We start from the raw sequence: 19,897 nt of genomic DNA on the forward strand, positions 1-19,897 counted from the left end.
TGCTTCTGTCTTTGCAGCTGGTTTCTGTAGATGCTGTTCAGCTGCTAATAACATCTGGCCTTTGGGCAGGCTCAAAAAATTTAAACTTAATAATGCTTGATTCAGTTGCATCTGCAGTGTTCCATAGTTGCTGTTTTCTCCTGTCTGCTTTTGCAACTGCTGTTATAGGGAGAGATTTATTCTTTCCACTATGCCTTGTCCTTGAGAATTATATGGGATACGAGTGATTGCTTAATATTCCATATAGAGAAAAATGTAGCTAAATATTGGCTAGTATAGCCTGGGGCATTATCTGTTTTAATAGAAGCTGGAATGCCCATCACTGCAAAACACTGCAAAAGGTGACATTTAACACAGGCAGAAGACTCTCCTGATTGGCATGTAGCCCAGACAAAGTGAGAAAAGGTGTCCACACATACGTGTACATAAGCTAGTCTCCCAAATGAGGAAACATGTATGACATCCATTTGCCAAAGAGAATTAGGTTCCAATCCTCAAGGATTAACTCTCCTGTAAAAGATGAGGAATGTACCATTTGGCAAGTTGGGCATTGCTGGATAATAGCTTTAGCTTCTTTCCAGGTAATGCTGTATCTGAGTTTGAGACCAGTGACATTAACATGGATTAAATTGTGAAAATGTCTAGCATTAGATATTGCATTAGCAACTAGGCGATCAGTCATTTGATTCCCTTCAGTCAAAGGTCATGGAAGAGGTGTATAAGCCCTAATGTGAGTGATATAAAAAGGGTTCATTTTACTCCTAACTGCTGTTTGCAATTGGGTAAATAAAGTCATCAGTTGTTCATCTGTATGAAATCATAACTGAGCATTTTCAATTAACTGTGTGGAATTAACCATGTATGAAGAATCAGAAATCACGTTAATGGGCATATCAACAGCAGTCAATACCTCAATTACAGCTACAAGCTCTGTTTTTTGAGCTGAAGTATAGGGCGTCTGAAAAACTTTACCTTTTGAGCCAGAATAAGAAGCTTTACCATTACTAGACCCATCTGTAAAACAATGAAAACACTTAGCAGGCTGCAGATTGTTTACCGCAGGAATTGTAAATGCAAACCTGTTCACAGTCTTGCTCAGCTAAGCGGCTAGTAAAGAAACAGTCTTTTAAATCTATGACTATTAAAGGCCAATTTTAAGTCCTCTAAAGCCTCCAGTTTCTCTTTACTCAGTGGCCATTGTTTTATCTAAATTGGCTTATATGTTAACCATTTTAAAGGTATAGGTACTGGAGGCTTAACAATAGCCATCATCAAAAATGATATCCTAAACCTTGGCAGGAACTTTGTCTTTCTGCTTGAAGTGGTCTTTCAAACCTTGCAAATTTTTTCCTAGTCCCATACCAGGGACATACCCCATTTCATGCATCATATGCTGACTTTGAGGGCTATATAATTGTTCAGGAATTAGAACTTGTGCTCCCCATTGCTGTAATAAATCTCTCCCCCATAAATTTATAGGTACAGAAGTTATAATTGGTTGAATATTCCCAGGTAGTCCATCAGGCCCTTCACAATGCAAAATATAACTACTCTGATATACCTCAGGGGCTTTACCAACTCCAACTATGTTAAATTGAGTGGGTTGAATTGGCCACATGGACAGCCAGTGCTGTAGAGAAATGATTGAAATGTCTGCTCCTGTATCTACCAAACCTTTAAAATTTTTTCCCTGAATAGTTATTTCACAGGTAGGACGTTTATCAGTAATTTGATTTACCCAATAAGCTGCTTTGCCTTGTTTATTTGTGCTTCCAAATCCTCCTGTTTGTTTAATTTCACTTTTCCCCATTTCTACATATGGCACAATCAGGAGCTGTGCTATGCGCTCTCCTGGCTCTGCTTTCCAGGGAACGGAAATAGATATAACAATTTGAATTTCCCCATTGTAATCTGAATCAATGACTCTTGTATGTATTTGTACCCCTTTTAAATTTAAACTAGACCTTCCTAAAAGTAATCCTATGGTCCCTGTTGGCAAGGGTCCACAGACCCCTGTTGAGACCTTTTGCAGGGGTTCCCCAGGCAAAAGGCTCACAGCTTTTGTGCAGTGTAAATCTACTGTAGCACTACTGGCTGTGGTGGCGGACAGACATTGTATAGGGGTGAGGGAATGGCCTGAGCTGGAAATGCCCTGGTTTGGAATGGGGCCCGGGACGGGCCCCTCTTGGTGTTTCCTGAAATCAGGTTCCCATCTTTATCAAACTTAGAGTGAAACTGATTAGCCCAGTGTTTTCCTTTTTTGTAGTTTGGACATATTTCAGGCTCAGCAGTTTTCCTTTTTCCCCTATCTGGCAGCCTGACTCACTGATTTTTTTTACATTCTTTTTTAATATGACCATGTTTCCCATAGTTAAAACAAGATCCAGGAAACAGAGTATTTCCTTTATCCACTCTCATTCCTGCCATTGCCGGTGCCAACAAAGTAGCTTTATGCAGATTACCTCCAATACCGTCACAGGCCTTGATATAATCAACTAAATGTGCTTTCCCTCTAATAGGTCACAGAGCAGCCTGGCAATTGGGATTAGCATTGTCAAAAGCTAATAACTGCAACACTATATCCTGAGCAGCCGAATCTGCAATCACCTATTTAAGAGGCTCTTGTAACCAAGCTATAAAATCCATGTACAGTTCTTTTGGTCCCTGCTTTACAGCACTAAAGGAAGGATATGGTTCTCTACCTGAAGAGGTTTTTTTCCAAGCTCTAATGCACATTCCTCTAAGCTGTTCTATGGCATCATGCTGTGTGGCCACTTGTGCATCTAAACCAGCCCAGCTGCTGACCCCCAAAAGTTGGTCTGCAGTCAAATTAATTTGAGGTTGGGCCTGGGCATTGCAAGCAGCCTGAATGGAAGCTTCATCTGCCCACCAAGTTTTAAATTGTGGTAAGAACTAAGCAGGAGTTAGACAAGCTCGAGTAAGAGCATCCCAGTCAGTAGGAATCATCTGACTGGAAACAGCAAAATTCTTTAACAGTCCCATTACAAAAGGAGAGCCTGGTCCTTACGGATTAATAGCTTGTTTAAATTCTTTGAGTAATTTAAAAGAAAAAGGCTCAAATGTAGCTATAATATTTCCCTGTTGATCTGGGGGTGTATTCTAACAGAGAACTGTGAAGCCTCTAAATTACCCTCTTGTCTAGCTTGCTGAATTCCTGCCTGAACAGAACTGAAAGTGCTCACTCGAGGCGCTGCTCGAACAGTCACTGGGGCAGCTACTTTTCGCTCAGTGTCCTCCAGAAAAGAAAGATCTGGAGGGTCAGGCCACTCTTTTTCTTCAAAATAATGAGGGAGTGCAGAAGGGTAGGGATGAACCTCTTCCTCCTTTGCAGCTTTAGCTTTAGCTGGCAAACAAGCCTGCTCTGCCACCTCTTTCTTTCCTCCTCATCATTGGTGTGAAAAGGTTCCAAGGTGGAATGAACCAGAGCTCACACTTGTCCCATTGTTACCCTGATGCTTCTGAGCTCCCCTTCTTACTCACCACGGGGATTGCTTAAGAGAACTTGGGTGTCCTCCAGCTTAGTTCCACATTCTCCAACCATCTTTCTGGTGACCCTTTGACCCAGGTTCAAGCCCCCATATTGGGCACCGCTTGCCGAGACCAGCTCGGTCAGGGAGACCCTAACCCAGTGGCACTAGAGAAATTAAAGACACACACACAGAAATATAGAGGTGTGGAGTGGGAAATCAGGGGTCTCACAGCCTTCAGAGCTGAGAACCTTGAACAGAGATTTACCCATGTATTTATTGACAGCAAGACAGTGATCCAGTGATAAGCATTGTTTCTATAGATTATAGATTAACTAAAAGTATTCTTTATGGGAAACAAAGGATGGGCCAAAATAAAGGGATGGGCTTTGGCTAGTTATCTGCAGCAGGAGCATGTCCTTAAGGCACAGATCACTCATGCTATTGCTTGTGGTTTAAGAACACCTTTTGAGGGGGGTGGAGTCAAGATGGCTGAATGGGAACAGCTCCAGTCTACAGCTCCCAGCATGAGTGATGCAGAAGATGGGTGATTTCTGCATTTCCAACTGAGGTACCAGGTTCATCTCACTGGGGAGTGCCGGACACTGGGTGCAGGACAGTGGGTGCAGTGCACCGTGCATGAGCCAAAGCAGGGTGAGGCATCGCCTCAGCCGAGAAGTGCAAGGGGTCAGGGAATTCCCTTTCCTAGTCAAAGAAAGGGGTGACAGACAGCACCTGGAAAATCAGGTCACTCCCACCCTAATACTGTGCTTTTCCAACAGGCTTAACAAATGGGACACCAGGAGATTATATCCCACACCTGGCTCAGAGGGCCCTACACCCACGGAGCCTCGCTCGTTGCTAGCACAGCAGTCTGAGATCAAACTGCAAGGCTGCAGCAAGGCTGCAGGAGGGGTGCCCGCCATTGCTCAGGCTTAAGTAGGTAAACAAAGTGGCTGGGAAGCTCGAACTGGGTGGAGCCCACCACAGCTCAAGGAGGCCTGCCTGCCTCTGTAGGCTCCACCTCTGGGGGCAGGGCACAGACAAACAAAAGACAGCAATAACTTCTGCACACTTAAATGACCCCGTCTGACAGCTTTGAAGAGAGTAGTGGTTCTCCCAGCATGCAGCTTGAGATCTGAGAATGGGCAGACTGCCTCCTCAAGTGGGTCCCTGACCCCTGAGTAGCCTAACTGGGAGGCACCCCCCAGTAGGGGCGGACTGACACCTCACAAGTCCGGATATTCCTCTGAGACAAAACTTCCAGAGGAAGGATCAGGCAGCAGCATTTGTGGTTCACCAATATCTGTTGTTCTGCAGCCACTGCTGCTGATACCCAGGCAAACAGGGTCTGGAGTGGACTTCCAGTAAACTCCAACAGAACTACAGCTGAGGGTTCTGACTGTTAGAAGGAAAACTACCAAACAGAAAGGACATCCACACCAAAAACCCATCAGTACGTCACCATCATCAAAGATGAAAGGTCGATAAAACCACAAAGATGGGGAAAAAACAGAGCAGAAAAACTGGAAACTCTAAAAATCAGAGCACCTCTCCTCCTCCAAACAAAAGTAGCTCCTCACCAGCAATGGAACAAAGCTGGACGGAGAATGACTTTGACAAGTTGAGAGAGGAAGGCTTCACAAGATCATACTACACTGAGCTAAAGGAGGAAGTTTGAACCAATGGCAAAGAAGTTAAAAACTTTGAAAAAAAATTAGACGAATGGATAACTAGAATAACCAATGCAGAGAAGTCCTTAAAGGACATGATGGAGCTGAAAACCATGGCACAAGGACTACATGACGAATGCATAAGCCTGAGTAACTGATGTGATCAACTGGAGGAAAGGATATCAGCGATGGAAGATGAAATGAATGAAATGAAGTGTGAAGAGAAGTTTAGAGAATAAAGAATAAAAAGGAATGAACAAAGCCTCCAAGAAATATGGGACTATGTGAAAAGATTAAATCTACATCTAATTGGTGTACCTGAAAGTGATGGGGAGAATGGAACCAAGTTGGAAAACACTCTACAGGATATTACCCAGGAGAACTTCCTCAATCTAGCAAGGCAGGCCAACATTCAGATTCAGGAAATACAGAGAATGCCACATAGATTCTCCTCGAGAAGAGCAACTCCAAGACACATAATTGTCAGATTCACCAAAGTTGAAATGAAGGAAAAAATGTTAAGGGCAGCCAGAGAGAAAGGTCGGGTTACCCACAAAGGGAAGCCCATCAGACTAAGAGCTGATCTCTCAGCAGAAACTCTACAAGTCAGAAGAGAGTGGGAGCCAATATTCAACATTCTTAAACAAAAGAATTTTCAACCCAGAATTTCATATCCAGCCAAACTAAGCTTCATAAGTGAAGGAGAAATAAAATACTTTACAGACAAGCAAATGTGGAGAGATTTTATCACCACCAGGCCTACCTTACAAGAGCTCCTGAAGAAAGCAATAAACATGGAAAGGAACAACTGGTACCAGCCAGTGCAAAAACATGCCAAATTGTAAAGACCATCAAGGCTAGGAAGAAACTGCATCAACTAACGAGCAAAATAACCGCTAACATCATAATGACAGGATCAAATTCACACATAACAATACTAACATTAAATATAAATGGAGTAAATTCTCCAATTAAAAGGCACAGAGTGGCAAATTGGATAAAGAGTCAAGACCCATCAGTGTGCTGTATTCAGGAAACCCATCTCACATGCAAACACACACATAGGCTCAACATAAAGGGATGGAGGAAGATCTATCAAGCAAATAGAAAACAAAAAAATGCAGGGGTTGCAATCGTAGTCTCAGATGAAACAGACTTTAAACCAACAAAGATCAAAAAAGACAAAGAAGGCCATTACATAATGGTAAAGGGATCAATTCAACAAGAAGAACTAACTATCCTAAATATACATGCACCCAATACAGGAGCACCCAGATCCGTAAAGCAAGTCCTTAGTGACCTACAAAGAGACTTAGACTCCCACACAATAATAATGGGAGACTTTAACACCCCACTGTCAACATTAGACAGATCAACAAGACAGAAAGTTAACTAGGATACCCAGGAATTGAACTCAGCTCTGCACCAAGTGGACCTAATAGACATCTACAGAACTCTCCACCCCAAATCAACAGAATATACATTCTTTTTGGCACCACACCACACCTATTCCAAAATTGACCACATAGTTGGAAGTAAAGCACTCCTCAGCAAATGTAAAAGAACAGAAAGTATAACAAACTGTCTCTCAGACCACAGTGCAATCAAACTAGAACTCAGGATTAAGAAACTCACTCAAAACTGCTCAACTACATGGAGACTGAACAACCTGCTCCTGAATGACTACTGGGTACATAACGAAATGAAGACAGAAATAAAGATGTTCTTTGAAACCAACGAGAACAAAGACACAACATACCAGCATCTCTGGGACACATTCAAAGAAGTGTGTAGAGGGAAATTTATAGCACTAAATGCCCACAAGAGAAAGCAGGAAAGATCTAAAATTGGCACCCTAACATCACAATTAAAAGAACTAGAGAAGCAAGAACAAACACATTCAAAAGCTAGCAGAAGGCAAGAAATAACTAAGATCAGAGCAGAACTGAAGGAAATAGACACAAAAAACCCTTCAAAAAATCAATGAACTCAGGAGCTAGTTTTTTTAAAAGATCAACAAAATTGATAGACCACTAGCAAGACTAATAAAGAAGAGAGAAGAATCAAATAGATGCAATAAAAAACGATAAAGGGGATATCACCACCGATCCCACAGAAATACAAACTACCATCAGAGAATACTATAAACACCTCTGTGCAAATAAAGTAGAAAATCTAGAAGAAATGGATAAATTCCTCGACACATACACTCTCCCAAGACTAAACCAGGAGGATGTTGAATCTCTGAATAGACCAATAACAGGCTCTGAAATTGAGGCAATAATTAATAGCTTACCAACAAAAAAAAGTCCAGGACCAGATGGATTCACAGCTGAATTCTACCAGAGGTACAAAGAGGAGCTGGTACCATTCCTTCTGAAACTATTCCAATCAATGGAAAAACAGGGAATCCTTCCTAACTCATTTTATGAGGACAACATCATCCTGATAGCAAAGCCTGGCAGAGACACAACCAAAAGAGATAATTTTAGACCAATATCCTTGATGAACATTGATGCAAAAATCCTCAATAAAATACCGGCAAACTGAATCCAGCAGCACATCCAAAAGCTTATCCACCATGATCAAGTGGGCTTCATCCCTGGGATGCAAGGCTGGTTCAACATACACAAATCAATACATGTAATCCAGCATATAAACAGAACCAAAGACAAAAAGCACATGATTATCTCAATACATGCAGAAAAGGCCTTTGACAAAATTCAACAACCCTTCATTCTAAAAACTCTCAATAAATTAGGTATTGATGGGACGTATCTCAAAATAATAAGAGCTATTTATGACAAACCCACAGCCAATATCATACTGAATGGACAAAAACTGGAAGCATTCCCTTTGAAAACTGGCACAAGACAGGGATGCCCTCTCTCACCACTCCTATTCAACATAGTGTTGGAAGTTCTGGCCAGGGCAATTAGGCAGGAGAAGGAAATAAAGGGCATTCAGTTAGTAAAAGAGGAAGTCAAATTGTCCCTGTTTGCAGATGACATGATTGCATATCTAGAAAACCCCATCGTCTCAGCCCAAAATCTCCTTAAGCTGATAAGCAACTTCAGCAAAGTCTCAGTATACAAATCAATGTGCAAAAATCACAAGCATTCTTATACACCAATAACAGACAAACAGAGAGCCAAATCATGAGTGAACTCCCATTCACAATTGCTTCCAAGAGAATAAAATACCTAGGAATGCAACTTACAAGGGATATGAAGGACCTCTTCAAGGAGAACTACAAACCACTGCTCAAGGAAATAAAAGAGGATACAAACAAATGGAAGAACATTCCATGCTCATGGATAGGAAGAATCAATATCGTGAGAATGGCCATACTGCCCAAGGTAATTTATAGATTCAATGCCATCCCCATCAAGCTACTAATGACTTTCTTCACAGAATTGGAAAAAGCTACTTTCAAGTTCATATGGAACCAAAAAAGAGCCCGCATGGCCAATTCAATCCTAAGCCAAAAGAACAAACCTGGAGGCATCACACTACCTGACTTCAAACTATACTACAAGGCTACAGTAACCAAAACAGGATGGTACTGGTACCAAAACAGAGATATAGATCAATGGAACAGAACAGAGCCCTCAGAAATAATGCTGCATATTTACAACCATCTGATCTTTGACAAACCTGACAAAAACAAGCAATGGGGAAAGGATTCCCTATTTAACAAATGGTGCTGGGAAAACTGGCTAGCTATATGTAGAAAGCTGAAACTGGATACCTTCCTTACATCTTATACAAAAATTAATTCAAGATGGATTAAAGACTTAAATGTTAGACCTAAAACCATAAAAACCCTAGAAGAAAACCTAGGCAACACCATTCAGGACATAGGCATGGGCAAGAACTTCACGTCTAAAACACCAAAATCAATGGCAACAATAGCCAAAATTGACAAATGGGATCTAATTAAACTAAAGAGCTTCCGCACAGCTAAAGAAACCACCATCAGAGTGAACAGGCTACCTACAGAATGGGAGAAAATTTTCGCAACCTACTCATCTGACAAAGGGCTAATATCCAGAATCTACAATGAACTCCAACAAATTTACAAGAGAAAAACAAACAACCCCACCAAAAAGTGGGTGAAGGATATGAACAGACACTTCTCAAAAGAAGACATTTAGGCAGCCAAAAAACACATGAAAAAATGCTCATCATCACTGGCCATCAGAGAAATGCAAATCAAAGTCACAAGGAGATACCATCTCACACCAGTTAGAATGGCGATCATTAAAAAGTCAGGAAACAACAGGTGCTGGAGAGGATATGGAGAAATAGGAACACTTTTACACTGTTGGTGGGACTGTAAACTAGTTCAACCATTGTGGAAGTTGGTGTGGTGATTCCTCAGGGATCTAGAACTAGAAATACCATTTGACCCCGCCATCCCATTACTGGGATTTATATACCCAAAGGATTATAAATCATGCTGCTATAAAGACACATGCACACGTATGTTTATTGCAGCACTATTCACAATAGCAAAGACCTGGAACCAACCCAAATGTCCAACAATGATAGACTGGATTAAGAAAATGTGGCACATATACACCATGGAATACTATGCAGCCATAGAAAATGATGAGTTCATGTCCTTTGTAGGGACATGGATGAAGCTGGAAACAATCATTCTCAGCAAACAATCGCAAGGACAAAAAACCAAACACCACATGTTCTCACTCATAGGTGGGAATTGAACAATGAGAACACATGGACACAGGAAGGGGAACATCACACACCGGGGATTGTTGTGGGGTGGGGGGAGGGGGAGGGATAGCATCAGGAGATATACCTAATGCTAAGTGACGAGTTAATGGGTGCAGCACACCAACATGGCACATGTATACCTATGTAAGAAACCTGCATGTTGTGCACATGTACCTTAAAACTTAAAGTAGAATTAAAAAAAAAAAAAAAAAGAACGCCTTTAAGCGGTTTTCCGCCCTCGGTGGGCCAGGTGTTCCTTTCCCTCATTCCAGTGAACCCACAGCCTTCCAGCGTGGGCGCCATGGCCATCATGAACATGTCACAGTGCTACAGAGATTTTGTTTATGGCCAGTTTTGGAGGCAGTTTATGGCCAGATTTTGGGGGCTTATTCCCAACAAGTTCAGCCATGGAACCAAAGGTATTATTTAAGTGGAAAGTTTTAAGAGGCCTTTCTGTAAGTTTTCACGGTGCTGGGGTATAGGTGCCTCATGGTCCAGCCTAGTCCTCAGATATGCAGTACCCACTGTGTCTCTACTCGAATCTCATGATTCTTGAGATGGACAACTCAGCTCCTCAATAGAAATGGGTATGTTTGGTTCCCACACCACAAGTGCCTTGCATTTAATAACTGGAAGGCATCAAAAGAAAATGAATGGTATTATCATGTGGGTTCATGTTAGTTTATGGGTAGGCTGATTAAACTACAGCAAGCTCCTATGATAAAATACATTATATTCACACAGATTTTACCATACAATGTAGGAGAATCTTATAATGTGGAGTCTGTCTTTGATCTACAATGAAGATATACCTTAAGCAGAGAATAGGTTTGAAAATCAGAACCATCCTTGAAATTCTTCTAAATCATTCATAAATTATAGTATTCAGATATTCAGTTTCTCAGTTTATTAAGAGCTAGTTTTCTACCAGCTTTGAAACGGATTTTCTATTTCTTCATTTGGGCACAAGATCATGAAGTTAACGTCTATTTATGATCATGCTACAAAAAATATGATTGATCTTTAAACACCAGAATCAAGGAATGAAGCAAGAGGATCGCCCCATGGGAGCTGCAAGGTAACTGAGATCTGCTCAGTGAAAAATAGATTCATATCTGTCCTGTCACTCTCACTCCAGGGCAGATGTTCATTGAGCAGAAGGGCCGCCAAATTGCCCCATCTATCTATAGTGTCAGTTTACTCATCCAGGTCCCTTTACTACTCACCCACACTCTCAACACCTGTAGTTAAAACTGATTGAATGCTCATATAATGCTACTCCCCTATGTCACACTACTAGTAAATTATAGGCAACCTCTGTCAAATATGATAAAAATGACCTAGAAGATATTTTGATTCAAAACTAACAGTAATCAACAGTGAGAAAGAGGCCAAGGGCTCCCTTTTACAACTTCTTTCCAAGTCCATAATCTATGTTCTATTCTTATTCATAAGCGGTTGTCAACTAAGCCTTCCCATAGAGTAACTAATAATTAAAAGGATAACTAAAATGGTTTAAGGTTAAAAGGCTACCAGGAGTGCTTATGTTTCCTTTCCTCTGATTTCATGTCTTTGCAGGGATCTGAACAAATACATGCTACTTGTGAACAGTTATCTACTTCCTCCTTAGAAAAATATTTGATTCAAAAGAATCAACCAGTAGTAAATATTTCTATATATTAAGTAAGAGTTTTCTCTGTGCCAGCCATTGAATATTATCTCTTTCAGTCTTCATGGATTCCTTATCCAACAGGTTTTATTATCTTGTATCTAGTGAAGATCTAACCCAAAGAGGGTTTACATAATTTTATAAGACCAGACATTTAGTACAAAGCAGAGGCAGGATTCAAATTCAAGTTTGTCTAATTATAAGGTCCATGCTCTTAATCATTAACCATGCTTCCCTCACAGCTTTATTGTGCTCTGCAGCCAAGCCTGTTGAGTTGTTGTATCATCTGCCACCTCTAATCAAATTCAGCATGTCATAGTAACATCAAACTTTCCATATTGCTTTATCATTTGCAGAGCACTTTTACATCCATTATTAATTTGGCTGATGCTTAAATCAATCCACAGGAATCTGAACAACAATTACTCCCTCTGTGGAACAGAGGCTGGGAATAGAATATGAGTGTTAGTTCAATAAGCCTTAGTTGGAATTTTAACTCTGACAAGGTCTGTGTGACCTTCGATAAGTCCCTGGATTTGTCTAGGTCATAGGTGTCTTGTATGTAAGCTAGTATATTAAATAAAATGATGTGTGTATTCTATGTACTTGGTTTTTTCATTGCCAGTAGTAGTATTCAGGAAATATTTAAGTGACCAGATACACTTCTTCTGTAGTTTCCTATTCCAAAGAGCAGATAACATGTAAACTTATCACAGCAATTTTACTACTAGGTATCTACCTAAGAGAAATGAAAACATACTTTTCCAGACAAAAACTGGCACAAAAATGTTCATAACAGTTTTATTAATCATAATCAAAACTGGAAACAATTCAAATATTCATCAACTGGTATATGAATAAACAAATTGTGGTGTATCCCAACAGTGGAATCTACCCAGCAATAAAAGGGAGATAACTATTATATAACCAGCATCACAGATGAATCTCCAAAATATTGTGAAAATATAAGAAGCCATATCCAAAAGTTACAAACCATTTGTGTAATATTCTCAAAAATGTAAAATCATATGAACACAAGAGATTAGTGGTTGTCTTTGTCGGTTAGGGCTACTATAACAAAATGCCATAAATGGAGTAGTTTATAAGCAACAGAAATTAATTTCTCACAGTTCTGGAGGCTGGGAAGTCTAAGATCAAGGTGCTAGCAGATTCATTGTGTAGTGAGGGCTTACTTTCTGCTTCATAGTTGATGTCTTCTTGCTGTGCCTTCACATGGTGGAAGGGACAAGGGATCTCTCTGGGGTTTTTTATAAGGGGACTAATCCATTTATGTTTTAATCACATTCCAAAGGCCCCATCTTTTAACATGATCACCTTGGGGGTTAGAATTTCAACATATGAATGTTAGCGGAGCACAAACATTCAGTCCTAGCAGTGGTTGCACGGTCATAGACATGAGGGAAGGGAACTTACTGCCAAGGAAAGGGAGGGAAATTTGTGTTAAAGGACACATTCTATATCTTGATTGTAGTGGTATTATATGACTGAATATATTTGTCAAAAATCATTATTGAACTGTGTACTTATAAAAAGATGAGTTTTATGTGCAAATTATATTTCAGATAAGTAAGTAAAAAATTTAAATCTATAATTCACAATTAGATACCACTAATCACCACCTCAACTATCTAAAATTTAAAAAGACTTATAATACCAATTGTTTGTAAGGATATGGAAAAACCAGAAACCTCTTACACCACTAACAGGAACATCAATTGATACTGCTGGATTGAAAAACTTTTGGCCTTATCTACTAAATTGAAGATACACAACCTGTGACTTAGCAATCCATTTCTAAATATGTGTCCACTTAAAATGCATGCACAAATATTTTCAGAGAAATATTATTCATAACAGCCAAATTTATACACAATCCAAATGTCCATCAACATGAGAATGGATAAATACACAAATTATGGCATATTCTATAATGGGATACTATGCAGAAATGAAAATCAACTAAAACTGCCCCCAACAGCAGGAGTAAACTTTACAAATATAAGGTTGAGTTAAAGAAGTCAGACACAATACAATAAGAAAAAGAGGAGAAGCATTTAGGGATCCCACTCACTGTTCTGTCTGGCCACAATATAATTGGAAGAGGCACTTCCTAACCTCTCCCACACGATTAGAGAACAGTAATGATATTACTGAGTACCTGTCCTGGTGTTCAAGGAGCAGTTCCTAGCTTCCCTGTTTGGTGTTTGTACTCTGCCTGTTCTCTCAAGATCTACTTCGACTCTTCCTACATTGTCAAACTCCGTTTTAGAGGTATGCACATTTTCTTGGTCCATTGCAAACCCCAAATTGGCTACAGCATTCCACACATTTTCTCTTTAATTTGGCCTTATTGACTGTGCTCTGACCTAAACTCAGGTGCTCAGGTTCCCTTCCCAGATCTGCAGCCCCCACAGAGCCTATTGACTTCCTTCTATAGACTACGGGGGGAAAAGTTTATAATATTTAAGTGGCCCTGTGTTAAGCAGGCTATGCGCTAAGAACTTTACAAACACTGGCTTCTCTGCAGCCAATGCAATGAAATAGGTCCTCTCAGATCCTTCTTTTTCTGATAATAAAATAGATGTACAGTGGCCAAGTGCTCAAGTCAAAGGTCACATGTAACTGGCAGAGTCAAAGCTCCAATGTCTCACTCTGATGGCCCTGCTCTGTACTGTATAGGATTCTTAGCATGAGGAGAAAGCTGTTAGTAACAAAAAACCCTGCGCTACTCTCAGGGGGTACTTTCAGAGCTACATTCAGACAGCATTATCAATTCTTCCCGCCAGAGCAGAATCTGGATGCGTGGGTCTGGCAGCAGTTCAGTGTGCACTTGTTACTGGTAAGAGCACTGGATTTGGAATCTGGTAAACTTCAGTTTAATGCATTTGCTATCAGGGCAAATCACTTCACCTCTTTGAGTGCCAGTTTCCTAATCTCTACAATGTAGATAATAGCTGCTTCATAAATATTTTAAAAATTAGATGTTATGATGGAGGTAAAAGGTTTCACACAGATTAAGCACCATGAGTAACAACTATTTGCTGTGGGTTCCATTTCTATCGGCTCTGGGGCAACAGTCTAAGGGGCACACAGATCCAGCAACCACATCTACACTCTCCTTGCTTTCTCTCTCTTTGTCCACTACTAACTGGCTCTTCTGGATCTCAGTCTCTGCTCTACCTCTATTTCTGTCATTGTCAGTTCTTTTTCTTTCTCTTCCATTCTTTCATTAAGGCCTTTCCCTTTCTTCCTGCTTCAAAATTGACCCCTCTCCCACTGCCCTGCCTATCTCAGAATTCCCCCATCTTTCTCCTTTTATCAGAGTCTTCTTTAGGACATTCCCTTTTCAGGACCTCAACTAACTGACATGCAGTATGTGCGGTGCTGCCGTGTGTAGATCACAGCGAGGAATATGAAGGTGTGTAAGACACAGGGCCTGGTATTCAGAGGCTCACCATCTAGTGTGAGAAAGAACACATGCATGACACACACCAGCCTGTGTCAGCCTGTCCCATCCACTCCTAGGGTGCAGTGCCCTCCTCAAGCCATCCCTTCTCTCCTTTCACCTAGTTATCCAGGTTTAATGCCATTTTCCCCAGCCTTTTCCCATTTTGTCACATGACTATTCAAAACAAACTGGTCCTATGTCACAACAAGTCTTTGTCCTTTCCAAGATCTTAACTAGCTAATCCAATGAGCTAATTTTCCATAGTGTGCTCAAGATAGATGGTTAAATGTGATGACCCAGGTTCTCTTGTATTTGACTGTGATTTAAAGAAAAATGCCCCCTTGAGGATGTGACTTTAATGTTTTTAGTTTATGGTAACGTAGTTCAGCTCTGGGTGCTTTCAGGGGTGGAGACTCTAAATGAGTTCCTTGGTTATATAGAGTCTTTGTATGGTGGCTTCTTAGATGCTGGTTGTAGTAGTAATGTGCTTAGTTTGTGTGCAGGTTCACTGTCTCCTGTGGGGTTGGAATGGCAGAGGTCTCTTGAAGCTCATCTCATTCTCCAGCGGTAGGTACTTTGTTTATTTATTTTCCCCCACCATTTTATTTACTGGGTTGAAAAGTTCAGGCTTCAGGCCAGGAGGGGAGGCATCCATGGGTTCAAACCAGCTGTGGTTAACGCAGGTTGGCAAACCCAATACCCAATGGTAGGCAGAGGTCCCAGCCTTGACAGAGACAGCTTGGGGAGCTCTTTGTGAAAGGCACTAAGGTCTTTTCAGGGGAAGGGAGGGAGCCACCTCAGCTCCCCTGCCAGTTCAGCAGGAAGGCAATCCACCTCGCAGTCACACTCCTGATGCAGTGTCATGGCTATTCAGATTAGGCAGGCACCTCTTTTCATTTGCAGGAATGCTGATGTTCCATGTAGAGAGGGATTATGACTCTACCCCTCATGCAAGCCTGCACCTGGAAGGCACTCCCCTTGTGAGGTTGCAGACACCCTGAAGTGTTCCAGAAAGGCTGTCAACAGGCGCATCCATGCCGAGCTCCTTTGGGAGGAGCCCCAGTTGTATCTGCAGTAGTGGATGAGGGGGAAAAGAAGTCCCATTCTCCAAGACCCTTCAGGAGCACCAGGACTGCCTCATTGCTGGAGTGGAGCTGCAGATTTTCTCCACCAAGCCCAGCACTGCACCTCTGCCTCTGCTGAAAGAAACTTCCCACAACTAGAAAATTCTAGAACTCAAGGCCTACCATCTGGATTTTTTTTTTTTTTTTTGTCCCAAGAGGTGCTCCCTTGATGTGGTGCACTTCCTCTTCCCCTAGGAGTAGGAGTCCCTTAGAGCCAGACTACTATGAATGTTGCTACTCTTCTGGGTCTAGCTGCCCAGTGGGGCTGCCACACTCCAGAGTGGTGTTGGGGAATGTCTGTAAGGGGTCCAGTGATGTGATCTGTATTCAAGGTGCCCAGAAGTGGGTATCAGCGCCAGCTCTGAAAAGGGTGGTGGGGAGTGACATAGAGTTTGTGAGATTCCTTGAATACAAGTTGCGTTACTGTATTGTTGGCTTTCTCAAATGTCAGTTGTACTAGTAAGGAACTAGTCATGTGGACAGACTCAGGACCTCTTGGTTAGCCAGGATGATACAGGCAATGGTGATAGCTGAGGTCACACACAAATTTTCTCCATTCTGCACACTGTTATTTTGCCTGTAGAGACTATAATGAACTGTGGCACTTGGCCTCCAGCCAGGAGGTGGCACTTGCAAAAGATCGCCAGCTGCAGTGGTAGCAGTGGGATTTGTGCTTGCCTTATGTTATCCAGAAGATGTACTGTGGTGACTCAGGAAATGGATGGGGCCACACAGAACCCACAAAAGTTTTTGTCCTTTGTTGAAGCTGCCAGGGTGGTTGGAAGGGCAAAGGCAAGTGGGAACTGGGTCAGGCAAGTCTGTGCTCAGGCCCTCCACATGTGAGCAAAAGCAGTGGCCCCACTGGGGATTATAGAGCAGTTCTCTGGCTACCAGAGTAATGTTCCAGGGAAGAGCACAGTTGCCTCTGCTGTATAGAAGAGTCCACATGGAGAGTGGAGAGTAGCAGGTGGCAGTAAGCTCCACCCAGCTCCCACTCACTGGGCAAGTCCAGTCTCACACTTGCAGCATTCCACTAGCAGCAGCTAGCTAGGTTCCACACAGTCTGTGCTCAGAACTCAAAAGTGCCCCAGGCCATATTTCTTCCCCCAAGGAAACAGCAACCATGGCTTTCAGGCCATGCCTCTCCTCGTTTGCCTGTGAAGCAGGGGCGCCCAGCTCCTGTGCCTGTGGCTGCGGCACACTTCCCACTCAACCCTCAGTTCTGGCCAAGGGGGTTTGTCTCCACTGAAGATTATATCATGAATCTCAGTTGGGAGCTTCCTTCTACCTGTGACTGCCACCTGAGTTAGCTGGTAGATTTCGGCAAGGTCCCCTGTGAGGCAGGATCAGGAATGTCTTCCCTCCACCCCTGCTGGAGACTGAAAATGAATATAAAGCCTGTTCTAATGTCAATTCTTCTCATATACTCCCTACCACTCACTAAGTCAGCTTCAGCACTGGGTAGAGTTAAGGCCTTCCCCCATGGCCTGGATTGCCAGGTTTCCCAGTAGGAGTGTATGTTCCAGAGGTAGTCTATCCTCTTCTCACACTCTGGGGACTTACAGTTTTCTAGTTGGCTCACAGTGTAAGCTACAGCCCAATGCTTCTTTCAAATAGTCTGTGGCTTTCAATTTTCTTATTACGTTCCTGTGTTTGCTTCTTGGAAGAAAGTTCACGTGTGAATCTCTACACACTATTTTGTCTTTCCAAGTGGGAGAAGCATGCTAACAATGTCTCCTATCTGATATCTTGGGGAAAAATAACAAACTCTTCTAGCACTTTGAATATATCATCCCACTCCTTCCTAGTCTGCAAGTTTCCACTGGAAAATCTGCTGATGGACTTAGGGAGGCTGCATTGTATATCACGAGTCACTTTATTCTCTTTCACATTTGAAAATTTGATTATATTGTGTCTTGGTGTGGATTCGCTTATGTTTATACTGTTGGGGATCTTTTGAGCTTCATTAATCTGGATGACTATTTTCCTCTCCAGATTTAGAAGTTTTCAACCAACCTTCCTTCTTTGTTTTTCCACTTTCTCCATTCCGTTTTCTCCCTTCCTCCCTCCCTTCCTCCCTCCCTTCCTCCCTTCTTTCCTTTCTTTCTCTCTTTCTCTCTCACTTTCTTTCTTTCTCTTTCTCTCTCTTTTTTCTCTCTCCCTTTCTTTCTCTTTCTCTTTCCCTTCCTTACTTCCTTCTCTTTCTTTCTTTTTTCTTTCTTTCTTCTCTTTCTCTTTCTTTTCCTTTTTCTTTCTCATTTTCTTTCTTTCTTTTTCTCTCTTGCTCTTTCTTTCTTTTCTTTCTTTCTGTCTTTCTGTCTGTCTTTCTTTCTTTCTTTCTTTCTTTCTTTCTTTCTTTCTTTCTTCCTTTCTTTCTTTCTTCTTTCTTTCTTTCTTGATGAGATCTTGCTACATTGACTAGACTGGAGTGCAGTGGCTCCTCACAGACACTTCCCTCCTTTCCTCCTGGGGAAAATGTTTAAGGGTTATGTATCTTTTCCCAATCTTGCAGAATTGTGCCAGCTGCGATGAGCTACTCACCTCTTTTCCTTATTCTAGACTTCCCCTAGGGATTTAAACTATTTTGATTCTCTCAGTGTTCTGAGCGAGGCATGGCAGGAAGAAGTCCCTTGGGCACTGTGCCAAAATGCCAGGAATGATGAATATATGCTCCACTCTCTTTTTACTCCTGAATGGAGCATCCACAAGCTAAGGCAATTTCTCCCAGCTCAGAGCTGTGCCAACTTGGGGGAGGGGCTGATGGTAAAGTAAAATTGCTCTTCCAACTCATTTCAGTGTGGCTGATATCAGTATTTTTGCTCATCTGGGGGTACTTCTTAACTGCAATCTGAAATATGTGCAAAGATATTTTGCTCTGCATATCATTGTTAACTTAACATTGTTAAGTATTTCATTGTTTCTATAGGGAGATGAGGGCTTAGAACTTCCTGTTCCATCATCTTTTGATATCAAGGAATTATAAATTTCAAAGGTGGTTTTGTTGTATTTTTATTTTTTTGTGTCTGAAAATAATACTCTTCTACCTCACAGAAGAAAACAAAATCAAATCATAGTGCCAGAAGAGACTCTAGAGATAATCTTAATTTATCTAATTACATAACTCCTGAGAAGAACAGAAAAGTCAATGTTATCAGCAAGAGAATGTTATAAGGCACAGGACTCCTATGCCTGCCAAAAGAGGCTCTCAGATGATCATATGGGGTTGGTTATGACTGGACAATAACAAGGTAAGCAACCGGGCTTAGGAGTTTTGCTACAGTGCTCTTCTAACAGGAAACTATATTTTCTTTTTTAAAAATTTTATTGTAGTGACAGGGTCTTGCTATGTTGCTCAGGCTGCTCTTGACCTCCTGGCTTCAAATAATCCTCCCACCTCAGTCTTCCAAAACACTGAGATTACAGGTATAAGCCACCATGCCTGGCCTGAAGCTTTATATTTTCTATCTATCCAATGTGAACCCAGATTTTGCCCCATGAAGAGAACTCTAAGGGTGTATTCACCTTTTTTGAAGAGCTTCTTTTTAATTCTTTTGAAGTTTTGAGTTACTCATATTCTTAGAGGAAGGTATGACTAACAGGAAGTCTTTGGAAAAGGCTGGGTGAGAACTGTCAAAAGGCTGCAATCAAGATATGTGCTGTGGCTTGGGTCTTCTTCTGAGGTCTTCTCCCAAGCTCTCATGGTTGTTTGCAGGTTCATTTCCTCCCAGCTTGAG

This window comes from Homo sapiens, chromosome 4, assembly GCF_000001405.40.
Source record: "Homo sapiens chromosome 4, GRCh38.p14 Primary Assembly".
NCBI lineage: Eukaryota > Metazoa > Chordata > Mammalia > Primates > Hominidae > Homo > Homo sapiens.